This window comes from Homo sapiens, chromosome 18 (genome assembly GCF_000001405.40).
Source record: "Homo sapiens chromosome 18, GRCh38.p14 Primary Assembly".
Classification (NCBI taxonomy): Eukaryota; Metazoa; Chordata; class Mammalia; order Primates; family Hominidae; genus Homo; species Homo sapiens.
In genome coordinates, this window is record NC_000018.10 from 11,942,159 (window position 1) to 11,953,407 (window position 11,249).

Here is an 11,249-nt window from a genome sequence, read left to right on the forward strand (position 1 = left end):
CCCAGGCTGGAGTGCAGTGGCGCAATCTCGGCTCACTGCAAGCTCCGCCTCCCGGGTTCAGGCCATTCTCCTGCCTCAGGCTCCCGAGTAGCTGGGACTACAGGCGCCCACCACCACTCCCGGCTAATTTTTTGTATTTTTAGTAGAGACGGGGTTTCACCGTGTTAGCCAGGATGGTCTTGATCTCCTGACCTCGTGATCCGCCCGCCTCAGCCTCCCAAAGTGCTAGGATTACAGGCATGAGCCACCACGCCCAGCCAATTCCTTTACTTTCTAATAAACTTGCTTTTGCTTTCCACTGTGGACTCGCCCTCAATTCTTTCTTTCACAAGAAACAAGAACCCTCTCTTGGCGTCTGGATCGAGTTCCCTTTCCTGTAACACCACCATGCTTAGCCTGGGCAACACATACTTCTGACAAAGAGCTTGTGCCCAGAATATAGAAAGAACTCATACACATCAATTTTCTTAAAAGACTAAACAGAAAAATTGGTGAGAGATTTGAACAGACACTTAACCAAAGAGAATATATGCATGGACAATCTCTATTTCATTAGTAACCAATATTTTTTTTTTTTTTTTTGAGACGGAGTTTTGCTGTTGTTGCCCAGGCTCGAGTGCAATGGCGTGGTTGGGCTCGCTGCAACCTCCACCTCCTGGGTTCAAGCGATGCTTCTGCCTCAGCCTCCTAAATAGCTAGGATTACAGGTACCCACCACCACACCCTGCTAAATTTTTTTATGACTCATGCATGAGTCACTGCACCTGGCCATTAGTAACCAATTATAAACTAAAACCAAGGCTGGGCATGGTGGCTCATGCTTGTACTCCTAGCACTTTGGGAGGGCGAGGCAGGCGGATCACTTGAGGTCAGGAGTTCGAGACCAGCCTGGCGAACATGGTGAAACCCTGTCTCTACTAAAAATACAAAAACTAGCCAGGCATGGTATGCGGCTGTAATCCCAGCTACTCGGGAGGCTGAGGCATGAGAATCGCTTAAACCCGGGAAGTGGAGGTTGCAATGAGCTGAGATGGCACCATTGCACTTCAGCATGGGGGACAAGAATGAAACTCCGTCTCAAATTAAAAAAATAAACTAAGACCATAATGAGAGCCGGGCATGGTGGCTCATGCCTGTGATCCCAGCACTTTGGGAGGCCAAGGCGGGTGGACTGCTTGAGCTCAGCAGTTCAAGACCAGCCTGGGCAACATAGCGAAACCCTGACTCTACAAAAAAATAAATTAATTAATTAAATAAAACCATAATGAGTGTGATGGCTTTAAAATATGCCCACAGATTCTTTGATACTTCTCCCACCAAGAGATGTAGCCCAATTCCCCTCCCCTTGAGAGTGGCTAACCTTAGACGCTCTTCTAACAGTTAGAATAAAGCAAACAGACACTGTCAGCCTTCAGTGATCTGGTTGAACAGACCTATGGAGAGGCCATGTGGCAAGGAACAGGGGCCCCCTGGCAAGTGCTGCATGAGGGAGCCCCTCAGCCCTGGACAAGTCTTCAGCCCCAGACAACATGCTGAAAAGGGAGAGTTCCCGGACACCCTCACAGGATGTGTGACAGGGGCGTGGCTCATCTGTTCGGCCACTGTGTGCACTCAAACCCCTTATGGGGTGGGGAGCACGCAGATGAGCAAGTACAGGAGATGGGGCAAGTGGCCCTGGGCTCCAGCCCCACGGCAGTGTCCAGGGGTGGGTGTCTGAGATTCCCAAAGCACACATGTGTTACAGTGTGCTCTTTCAGCTTTGCTGTCCGCAGTCAACTTAACTGTTAACCAGCTCAGTGCCCTCTTAGTACCCAGATCCTTGTCTGGTGTCCAGAAAGAATTAGGTGGCACACAGACTTGAAGGATAAATGTGGGGGTTTTATCTCTCAGTGGGATGGATGGGGAGCTGGAAGGGAGATGGAGTGGGAAGATGATCTTCCCCTGGAGTTTGGCCATCTAGTGGCCCACCTCCTCTCTGACTGTCCCCAACCGAACTCCTCTTGGCGTTCAGATGCTACTTCTCTTCTCTTTGCTGTGCTGTTCTGCCATTCTTCTTCACTTCTGTTTATCTCCTTGTAAAGCCCTGGGTTTGGGGTTTATATAGATATAGGATGGGCAGCATGGTGGGCCAAAAGACAACTTGTGGGCATGAAAACAGGAGTGCCCGTTCTCATTTAGGGCTGCGGGTTTCCAGGCTCAAGGGTGGGGCTTTTGCCAGGAAACTGCTCTCTTCTACCCAGTATTTCCATCTGCTGTCCATATCAATGCTGACGGCAACCTCATGAAAGACTCTGAGCAGAACCACCCTGCTAAGTCACTCCCAAAGAGACTGAGGTAACAAGTTTTTAAGCCAAAAAATGTTGGGATAATTTATTATGCAGAAATAGATAACTTATAAAATGAGACACACCCACACGTGCACCAGAATAGCTAAAATTTATAGTCTGACATGTCAGGAACTGGTTAGGCTGTGGAGAATGGGCACTCTCATTACACTGCTGGTGAATGTGTAATTGGTATAGCCATTCTGGAAAGCCATGTGGCATGATCTGCTAAAGGACGGTACACATACCCTATGCTACAAGAATTCCATTTTAGGATACACCTACAGAAATACATACAATATGCATTGTATACAAAGCTCATGTGCAAGAATACTCACAGCAGCGTTGTATATAATAGCCCAAACCTGAAACTAACCTGTCTACCAAGAGTAGGTGAATAAATGGTGGTGTGTTCACACAGTACAGTGCTACACAGCTGTGAACATTCATGAACTATAGCTACCCGTGACAGAGACAGGAAGCAGCCAAATGCCTAGGTAGATAGGGGCAAGTCCCTGGTGAAACCTCACCTCCAAGCCGAAGGCAGTTTAAAGCCCGAAAGCCAAGCTGCAAGTTAAATGCTCAGGCCAGAAGGACAGCCTGCCTTCCCATTTGGCGCACTTTCCTCTGATTGATCTCCATCCTTCACCTATTTTACATATACCTACCCTTTCCTAATTGGCTTTCTACACTGTCATGCCCACCTTTGAGTGGTGTCTTTGCTTTGACCCATTTTGCATACTCACAAACCAATTATCACACACTCCTTATTCTGAGCCCACAAAAAGCCCCGGGCTTAGCCATATTGAGAACTTTCCTGCCTTGAGGTAGGGGGACCACCCCCATGTCCCTTCCCCGCTAAAAGCTGTTTAATCACTCAATAAAACTTTCCACCTTACTCTTTCAGTGTCCACATGCGTACTTCTTTCTGGTCATGAGACAAGAACCCAGACCTATCTGAGCTAAGGGGCAAAAAATCCTGCATCACCTGTAACAATTTGATTGAGTCTCACCAACAAAATGATGATGATGTTAGCCAAACACAAAAGAATTAATACTAAGTGATTCTCTTATCAGGGTCCAATAAAGAGAGAGAAGCTACACCAGTTATTCCAAAAGAGTGAGTAATATAAAGAATTACTGGGCCGGGCGTGGTGGCTCACACCTGTAATCCCAACACTTTGAGAGGCAGAGGCGGGCAGATCACGAGGTCAGGAGATTGACACCATCCTGGCTAACACGGTGAAACCCTGACTCTACTAAAAATACAAAAATTAGCTGGGCGTGGTGGCAGGCGCCTGCTGCTCGGGAGGCTGAGGCAGGAGAATGGTGTGAACCCGGGAGGTGGAGCTTGCAGTGAGCAGAGATCGCACCACTGCACTCCAGCCTGGGCAATAGAGCGAGACTCCGTCTAAAAAAAAAAAAAAAATTATTATTGACGGGCACAGTGGCTCATGCCTGTAATCCCAACACCTTGGGAGGCTGAGGAGGAAGGATTGCTTGAGCCCAGGAGTTTGAGACCAGCCTGGGCAACATAGAGAGACCCCATCTGTACCGTGTGTGTGTGTGTGTGTGTGTGTGTGTGTGCACGCGCACGCGTGCGTAGCATTCAGCTATCAACCAGGAGGTTTCATTTAGTGTAACCCAGCAAGTACTCACAGAATTTTTTTTTTTTGAGACACAGTCTCACTCTGTCACCAAGACTGGAATGCAGTGGCGCAATCATGGCTCAATGGAACCTCAACCTCCTGGGCTCAAGCAATGCTCCCACTTCAGCCTTCTGAGTAGCTGGGACCACAGGCATGTGCCACCACGCCCGGCTAAATTTTGTATTTTTTGTAGAGAAGGGGTTTCGCCATGTTGCCTAGGCTGGTCTTGAATTCCTGGACTCAAGCCATCCGCCCACCTCGGCCTCCCAAAGTGTTAGAGGCGGAGGTTGCAGTGAACCAAGATTGCACCACTGCACTCCAGCCTGGGCTACAGAGCGAGACTCAGTCACAAAAAAAAAAAAAAAAAAAATGTTAGGATTACAGGCGTGAGCCACCTCACCCATACAGAAATGTGATCCACACTGTAAGACGCGCCTCTTCTTGAAATACTTACCCGATTCTTTGTTCTCTCACTGATCTCTGATCTCTCCACCTTCCCAAGTCTTGGAAAACTTGTCTTCTGATTTCAGAGTTAACCCTTAATTACGTAGAATCTTCCATTGTCATGTATTACATTACACGTGCTGGTTTTATCTTCCCAACTAGAAGATAAACCATAGAATCAGAAAAACAATTTTATCATTTTATTTCCAAAATTACATAGCCCAGGATTGAACTGTCCATAAACATCTATCGGATGGTCAGCTTCAAAACTAACTGCAATGCTGATGAGTTAAAATAGCTCCTTTTGTTGGCACCAGATAATAGATAAACATGAGAAGCCAGTGCAGTGGCTCATGCTTGTAACCTCAGCACTTCGGGAGGTCTAGGAGGGAGGATGGCTTGAGCCCAGGAGCCCATAGTGAGCTATGATTGAGCCACTGCACTCTAGTGTGAGCAACAGAGCAAGACCTCGTCTCTATACAAAATAAAATTATACATTTTTTTTACATAAGAAAACTTGAGAGAGATCATACTTTTGGGTTTCTTTATTAAAAGAAAGAAGACCAAAAGGTGACCCAAGTAAAAGTGTACACCCCTTAAGGGAAAAAAAAATTATTTTCATTTAAAATCGTTTTCTTTATCTTTAAAGTGAAAGTGCCATATCTGGCTTCCTAAGGAGGAACCACAAACCGCGTAGACTCAGGCCAGCCGCTGGGCCTGGGCCTGTGTGTCCCTCAGGCGGCGACCTTTGGCCCACTTCAGGCCGGCCGTATTTACCAGCTTAGAGGCGCCGCGGCGTTGGCGAGTCCTTTTTCACCCACCCCTTCCCTCCGTTCTCAGGCTTGAACTTGAACAGGCACTCATGACTCAGCAAACGGTACTTGATAGGGTTCTTTACACGTCAGTCAGGCTATTTTTTAAAATCACTCTTCCTGGAGATCTTCAAACCAGAAGCACCGCGGGCCCTCCCCAACGGGCTTCTGCTTACCTCCACTACGTGATGCAGTATGGCCCCCGGGAGGCCGCCCCCAGATTCTAGAGGGGCTTACCCCAGACACACCCGAAGGACCACCTCGTGACCTCAGAGGAACAGCCCTAGACCCAGGAGAGACTGCCAGACACCCCCGTGGCAGCCCGCCAGGGCCCAGCTCTACTTGTCGCCTGGAGGTGCTGCCTCCCTTCCACGCCGCCCCAGGGAATGGCCGCCCCTCTGGGGCTCCTCCCAATCCCCCTTCCCAGGACTGACAATGGCCCGGCGCCCTGCTTTGGGCCAGGATCGGCCTCGAGCCTTCCTCACTAGCGGCCAAGAGCCGGAAACCTTGCGTCTCAGATTCCCCGGGTCTGTGCACCCCCACCCCAACCGGTCTTCCCACCCAGGCCCCCCCTGATGCCAGCTGCGGGCCTGGACCTAGCCCGGGGCCCTGCCCCTCCGCCCCTCTCGCTGGACAGCCCAGGCCGGCGCCCGAGGGATAGGCTCGGGAGCGCGGGGAAGACGCTGCAGCCGGAGCTGGAGCCAGGGCCCACCTGTCCAGCGCCGTCCTGAGCTCACACAAAGACCCTTCCAGCCTCACCGAGGCCGCGAGCCCAAGCCAAGATCTTACAGATGTCAGGAAGTCTGGTTTAAAACCCATTGGTTAAGAAACTAATGACAATTTTTTTTTCTTAATAGGAAATCTGGGTGACTAGAAAATAGAGGGAAGGGAGACATTTTCATAACACCCTGTCACCTTTGCATTTCATGCACATGCAGAGTTGCATTCATATTATTAAAATATCTTTTTAGCTGGGCGCGGTGGCTCACATCTATAATCCCAGCATTTTGGGATGCCGAGGCAGGTGGATCACTTGAGGTCAGGAGTTCGAGACCAGCCTGAGCAATGTGGCGAAACCCTGTCTCTACTAAAAATACAAAAATTAGCCCAGGCATAGTGGCGGACGCCTATAATCCCAGCTACTCCGGAGGCTGAGGCAGGAGAATCATTTGAACCCGGGAGGTGGAGGTTGCGGTGAGCCAAGATCATGACACAGCATTTCGGCCTGGGAGACAGAGCCAGACCCTGTCTCCAAAATAATAATAATAAATTAATTAAAATAAAATAATATCTTTTTGACCTGGTGCTGGTTGCATAGGTATGGTCAGTTTGTGACAGTCCAGTGAGTTGTATGTTCAGGATACATGTATTCTTCTGAATGTGCATGTACTTCAGTTAAAGGTTTCCAGAAATAAACCTTTGGGTGAGGAGCAGAGCGCACTTCATCCTGAAGGCATAGGTGTGCTTTTGGGCCACCAGTAAACGGAGGTCATCCCACCTGTCATCCCACCCGGGGCCTCCTGTGCTTGGACGGAGATAAACAACATCCCTGCCCTCATTTCTGTTGCCTTCCTTCCCCCAATCGTGGAGTCTTCCCAGGAGCACAAACTCAGTGCATTCCTACTATCTAATTCCCCTATGAAGCTGGCAAAGGCTGGAATGTTATTTAGATTTTGACGGAAAATCATTCATAGCAATTCAGTTACTCAACACCTACTGAGCCCCAGATTCCTGCCTTTTAGTACAAACACTTTGTTCTCTGTTAAAAGCATTCCATGCTATATAGCACTGGCCATGCTGTGTCCCCTCTCTCTTCCTGCCACCCCCAGCACAAGGCTCTACCAAAAACTCGAAGACAACAAGCTAAATGTGGTTTGGTATGTAGAATCTTATTACTTGCTGTGATTGCACTGCTTAACATGAAGCATCATATTGACTTGGGATGTTATGAGAGGTACTAAAGGAAATTTACTTTGTCAGTTTTCCAGCTCTAACCCCATAAACTCTGGCTTCTAATAGAGTGTGGTGGTTGGTAAATGAATCTGGAAGAACAATCAATGAGACATATAAGGATTTTTAAAGGAGAGGGGAATATAATTGCAACCTAGGTGAAGAGTTTCAAGATTTAGGTAGGTGCCCATTCACATAATAGGCTAGACTATATGATTTAAACAATTGGTTGGGGATAATCACATACAGTACGGCACATTAAAATTGGTAAGAAGATAGGGCTGGGCATGGTGGCTAATGCCTGTAATTCCAGCACTTTGGGAGGCCGAGGTGGGTGGATCACAAGGTCAGGAGTTTGAGACCAGCCTGACCAACATGGTAAAACCCCGTCTATACTAAAAATACAAAAATTAGCCAGGCTTGGTGGCGCATACCTGTAATCCCAGCTACTCAGGAGGCTAAGGCAGGAGAGCTTGAACCCAGGAGGCAGAGGTTGCAGTGAGCCGAGATCGCGCCACCGCACTCCAGCCTGGGTAACAGCGAGACTCCGTCTCAGAGAAGAGAGAGGCTAATAGCTCAGAAAAGGGAGGGAAATATATTGAAAATCTTAGTGCAGGACAAGAGTGTTTTAAACAAAAAAGTTCTTGGTAAAGATGAAGGTAAATTAGATACATGAAAACAAACTCATGGTATTTACTAAAGTGGTCTACAATCTGTATTACCTCTTCAGGGCCCCTTGGCTGCTTTCACTCATGGACTGCTTGTGTTTCTTGGGAGAGGAAAAATTAAAATTGGTGTGACATAACTTGCTTGTAGTAAAAAATACAGGCTATTTCAAGACTACCAAGAAGCCAGCTCACATCAGCTACATCTCAACAATAGAAAATAATCATTCTGAAAAAAAGGCCCCGCCAGCAGGGTGGCTCATGCCTGTAATCCCAGCACTTTGGAAGCCAAGGTGGGAGGATCACTTGAGCCCAGGAGTTTGAGACCAGCCTGGGCAACATAGCTAGACCCCCGTCACTGCAAAAATTAAATAATTACCTGGGCGTGGTGGTGTGCACCTGTAGTCCCAGCTACTCAGAAGGCTGACCTGGAAGGATCTCTGAGCTGGGGAGGTTGAGGCTGCAGTGAGCCAAGGTCATTCCACCAAACTCCAGCTCCAGCCTGGACAACAGAGTGAGACCTTGTTTAAAAAAAAAAAAAATCTAAGGCAAAGAAGCAGGTCACTTCTCTTCCAATTATAAGATCCAAGACTTAGACCTGGTCTCTATCTTATGCCTGGTACCCCAGACTAGAAGGGCTGAGGTGTGCAATCTATCCCCTGGGCTAAATGAATACTCTTTTTTTTAAGGCACAGGATCTTGCTCTGTGGCCCAGACTGGAGTGCAATGGCATGTAGCCTCAAATTCCTGGGCTCAAGCGATCCTTCCATCTCGGCCTCGCAAGTAGCTGAGACCACAGGCGCGTGCTATCACACCAAGCTAAGTTTTTTATTTTTTAATTTTTTGTACAGACAGGGTCTTGCTATGTTGCCAGGTCTGGTCTTGAACTCCTAGGCCCAAGTGATTCTCTTGTCTCGGCCTTCCAAAGTGCTGGGATTATAGGCATGAGCCACTGTGCCTGGCCAGGGCTTGGGAATTTTAGTAGGGGAAACAGATGTGTTAGTCAATAAATGAGAAGCGTTTCCGGTGCTTTCATAGTTACCTGAGCAGGTGCAGCAGAACCCAAGGGAGGTGAATACTGCCAGATCTAGAGAGACAGGAAAGAGGCTTCCTTCAGAGAGGGAGGCGGGAGGGCTGGGGAGCAGGCCAGGTCAGGAGGGGCTGCATCAGCCACCCCAAGGAGTCCAGACATTGTCCTATGTGTGTGGGCAGGGGTCGTGTGCTGGTTATTTTATTTATTTATTTATTATTATTTTTTTGAGACACAGTCTCGCTTTGTTGCCCAGGCTGGAGTGCAGTGGCGCAATCTCAGCTCACTACAACTCTGCCTCCCGGGTTCAAGCAATTCTCCTGCTTCAACCTCCCAAGTAGCTGGGATTACAGGCACGTGCCACCATGTCCGGCTAATTTTTTTATATTTTTAGTAGAGACGGGGTTTCACTGTGTTAGCCAGGATGGTCTCGATCTTCTGACCTCATGATCCAGCTTGCCTCCGCCTCCCAGAGTGCTGGGATTACAGGCTTGAGCCACCGTGCCCAGCCTTGTTGTGCTGGTTATTAAGCGTTTGTCTCTCAGCTCAAAACAACCCACCCCTGCTCTGCAATTTGATGCTGAGGCTAAGACTCTGCAGACACGTTTATCTCCCTTTGGCAGCTGACTCCTGTTAAAATCTAGCAGGAGGAGTGCGGGAAGGAGATGGTGGGGGAAGGGGCTGGAAGAGGGAGAAGGGACCTGCTCACCTGCTGTCCTTGTCGGCCTCCCTCCAGCTCTCCCCACACTCTGAGCCAGACTCTCTGTGCCCTGCAGGGGTCATAGCACCAGCCATTCCTTAAAGTCCCCCTCTGAGCCTGCCATGGCAGCTGCAGCAGTGTCCTGCACAGAGGTCCAGCTCCCAGCTCTGTGACACTCCTCCTCCCAGCTTCCAGGTTCTGATAACCTCAACCTCTGCCCCTGTTTCCCCAACCCTAAGGTTGGTAGCTACCTGTTTTGTGGTGAGCAGGTCTATGCAAACCTGCCTCCCAAATCCAAGGAAGCTGAGAGGCCCAAAAAGGAGGCTGACAAATCCAGTTTCTTAGAAAGAAACATTTAATAGGGACTTACAAACAGAAGCCAGGTTTGTGTCTCTGGTCACTGCGAGTTGAGATGGTAGACCCTGCGCCATCATCCCCAGACCCAGGGTTTACACACCATCGGGAAAGGGTGTAGATGCTTCAGAAGAGATGTGTAGGACAATTGAAATATGATATCACGGTTGTTTGACCTAAGGGCAGGATTTATGGTAAAGTACCTGCTCTTACACAAGGAACAACACATAGACTGGAACTCTTAGAGGCTTCTGGGAATAGGAGTTAATCACAAGCCAACATGGTGGATCAGCGTCTGTGGTGGAGCTGCTTTGGCCTCCACACTGCCTCCTGCCTTTAAGGTCCTTGCTGTCTCAGTTTTCTGTTTTTGCCCTTTTACTTGCTTTCTCAATTTTTTTTTCTTTTTTTTCTTTTTTTTGTCGCCCAGGCTAGAGTGCAGTGGCATGATCTTGGCTCACTGCAACCTCTGTCTCCCAAGTTCAAGCAATTCTCCTGCCTCAGCCTCCTGAGCAGCTGGTATTACAGGCACCCACCACCGCGCCCGGCCTAATTTTTGTATTTTTAGTAGAGATGGGGTTTCGCGATGTTGGCCAGGCTGGTCTCAAACTCCTGACCTCAGGTGATCCACCTGCCTCAGCCTCCCAAAGTGCTGGGATTACAGGTATGAGCCACCGCGCCCTGCCTGCTTCACCAATTTCTTTCTTTTTTCTTTCTTTTTTTTTTTTTTTTAGATGGAATTTCACTCTTGTTGCCTAGGCTGGAGTGCAGTGGCATGATCTCAGCTCACCACAACCTCCACCTCCCGGGTTCAAGCAATTCTCCTGCATCAGCCTCCAGAGTAGCTGGGATTACAGGCATGCACCGTCACGCAATGCTAATTTTGTATTTTCAGTAGAGATGGGGTTTCTTCATGTTGGTCAGGCTGGTCTCAAACTCCCGACCTCAGGTGATCTGCCCGCCTCAGCCTCCCAAAGTGCTGGGATTACAGGCGTGAGCCACTGCGCCCGGCCTCAATTTCTTATATTAAATTTTCTCTATTGAAATGCTAAGATTGTTTCTGTTTTCTTGACTGGACCATGACTGATGTCATGGGTATGAGGTCCAAGAAAACAGACTCTCATAGATTAGATCACGGGATTTGTATGGAGGTGTCTTTGGCTTGATCACAGTGCTGACTTCCTTTCTACTAGGAAACTGAACATTAGTAATCTACAGCACATGGCGTCATCACTATCAGTCAAACTGTCACCAGCGGTTCACTGTGATGATACATCTGACGTGCATTGAAAGACCAAGGACCTGCTGCACTTGACTGTCATGG

At 48.5% G+C, this 11,249-nt stretch overlaps 1 long non-coding RNA gene across 6 annotated transcripts in view, besides 6 other annotated features; it reads right to left on the bottom strand.

Moving 5' to 3' along the window:
• Positions 1–6,025, bottom strand: part of LOC101927511 (uncharacterized) — a 37,635-nt gene extending 31,610 nt beyond the window's left edge. For 2 of the 6 annotated variants that reach the window (XR_007066294.1, XR_243835.5), the window contains exons 1-2: positions 5,406–5,756; positions 4,428–4,575 (exon numbers count right to left, since the gene is read on the bottom strand). This is a non-coding gene — a long non-coding RNA (uncharacterized LOC101927511). Of the gene's footprint in view, positions 1–4,427; positions 4,576–5,405; positions 5,757–5,941 lie in introns of those variants that run through there. The other 4 variants (XR_001753359.2, XR_001753361.2, XR_007066296.1 and 1 more) reach the window with 3 other exon arrangements.
• Positions 4,908–5,676: an enhancer, noted in NCBI's record as "NANOG-H3K27ac-H3K4me1 hESC enhancer chr18:11947065-11947833 (GRCh37/hg19 assembly coordinates)". NCBI's record gives its function as "activates a minimal SCP1, AML or CMV promoter by ChIP-STARR-seq in naive H9 embryonic stem cells {active_cell/tissue: H9 hESC(naive)}" and the evidence as "EXISTENCE:reporter gene assay evidence [ECO:0000049][PMID:30033119]".
• Positions 4,908–6,444: a biological region, named in NCBI's record as "CRISPRi-validated cis-regulatory element chr18.397". NCBI's record gives its function as "regulatory_interactions: IMPA2".
• Positions 5,001–5,788: a transcriptional cis regulatory region, noted in NCBI's record as "candidate enhancer chr18.397 targeted for multiplex CRISPR interference". NCBI's record gives its function as "positively regulates IMPA2 gene expression in K562 cells {active_cell/tissue: K562}" and the evidence as "EXISTENCE:mutant phenotype evidence [ECO:0000015][PMID:30612741]".
• Positions 5,244–5,373: an enhancer, noted in NCBI's record as "active region_13097". NCBI's record gives its function as "activates an Ori minimal core promoter by ATAC-STARR-seq in GM12878 lymphoblastoid cells {active_cell/tissue: GM12878}" and the evidence as "EXISTENCE:reporter gene assay evidence [ECO:0000049][PMID:35858748]".
• Positions 5,697–6,444: an enhancer, noted in NCBI's record as "H3K27ac-H3K4me1 hESC enhancer chr18:11947834-11948601 (GRCh37/hg19 assembly coordinates)". NCBI's record gives its function as "activates a minimal SCP1, AML or CMV promoter by ChIP-STARR-seq in naive H9 embryonic stem cells {active_cell/tissue: H9 hESC(naive)}" and the evidence as "EXISTENCE:reporter gene assay evidence [ECO:0000049][PMID:30033119]".
• Positions 9,484–10,173: an enhancer, noted in NCBI's record as "H3K27ac-H3K4me1 hESC enhancer chr18:11951641-11952330 (GRCh37/hg19 assembly coordinates)". NCBI's record gives its function as "activates a minimal SCP1, AML or CMV promoter by ChIP-STARR-seq in primed H9 embryonic stem cells {active_cell/tissue: H9 hESC(primed)}" and the evidence as "EXISTENCE:reporter gene assay evidence [ECO:0000049][PMID:30033119]".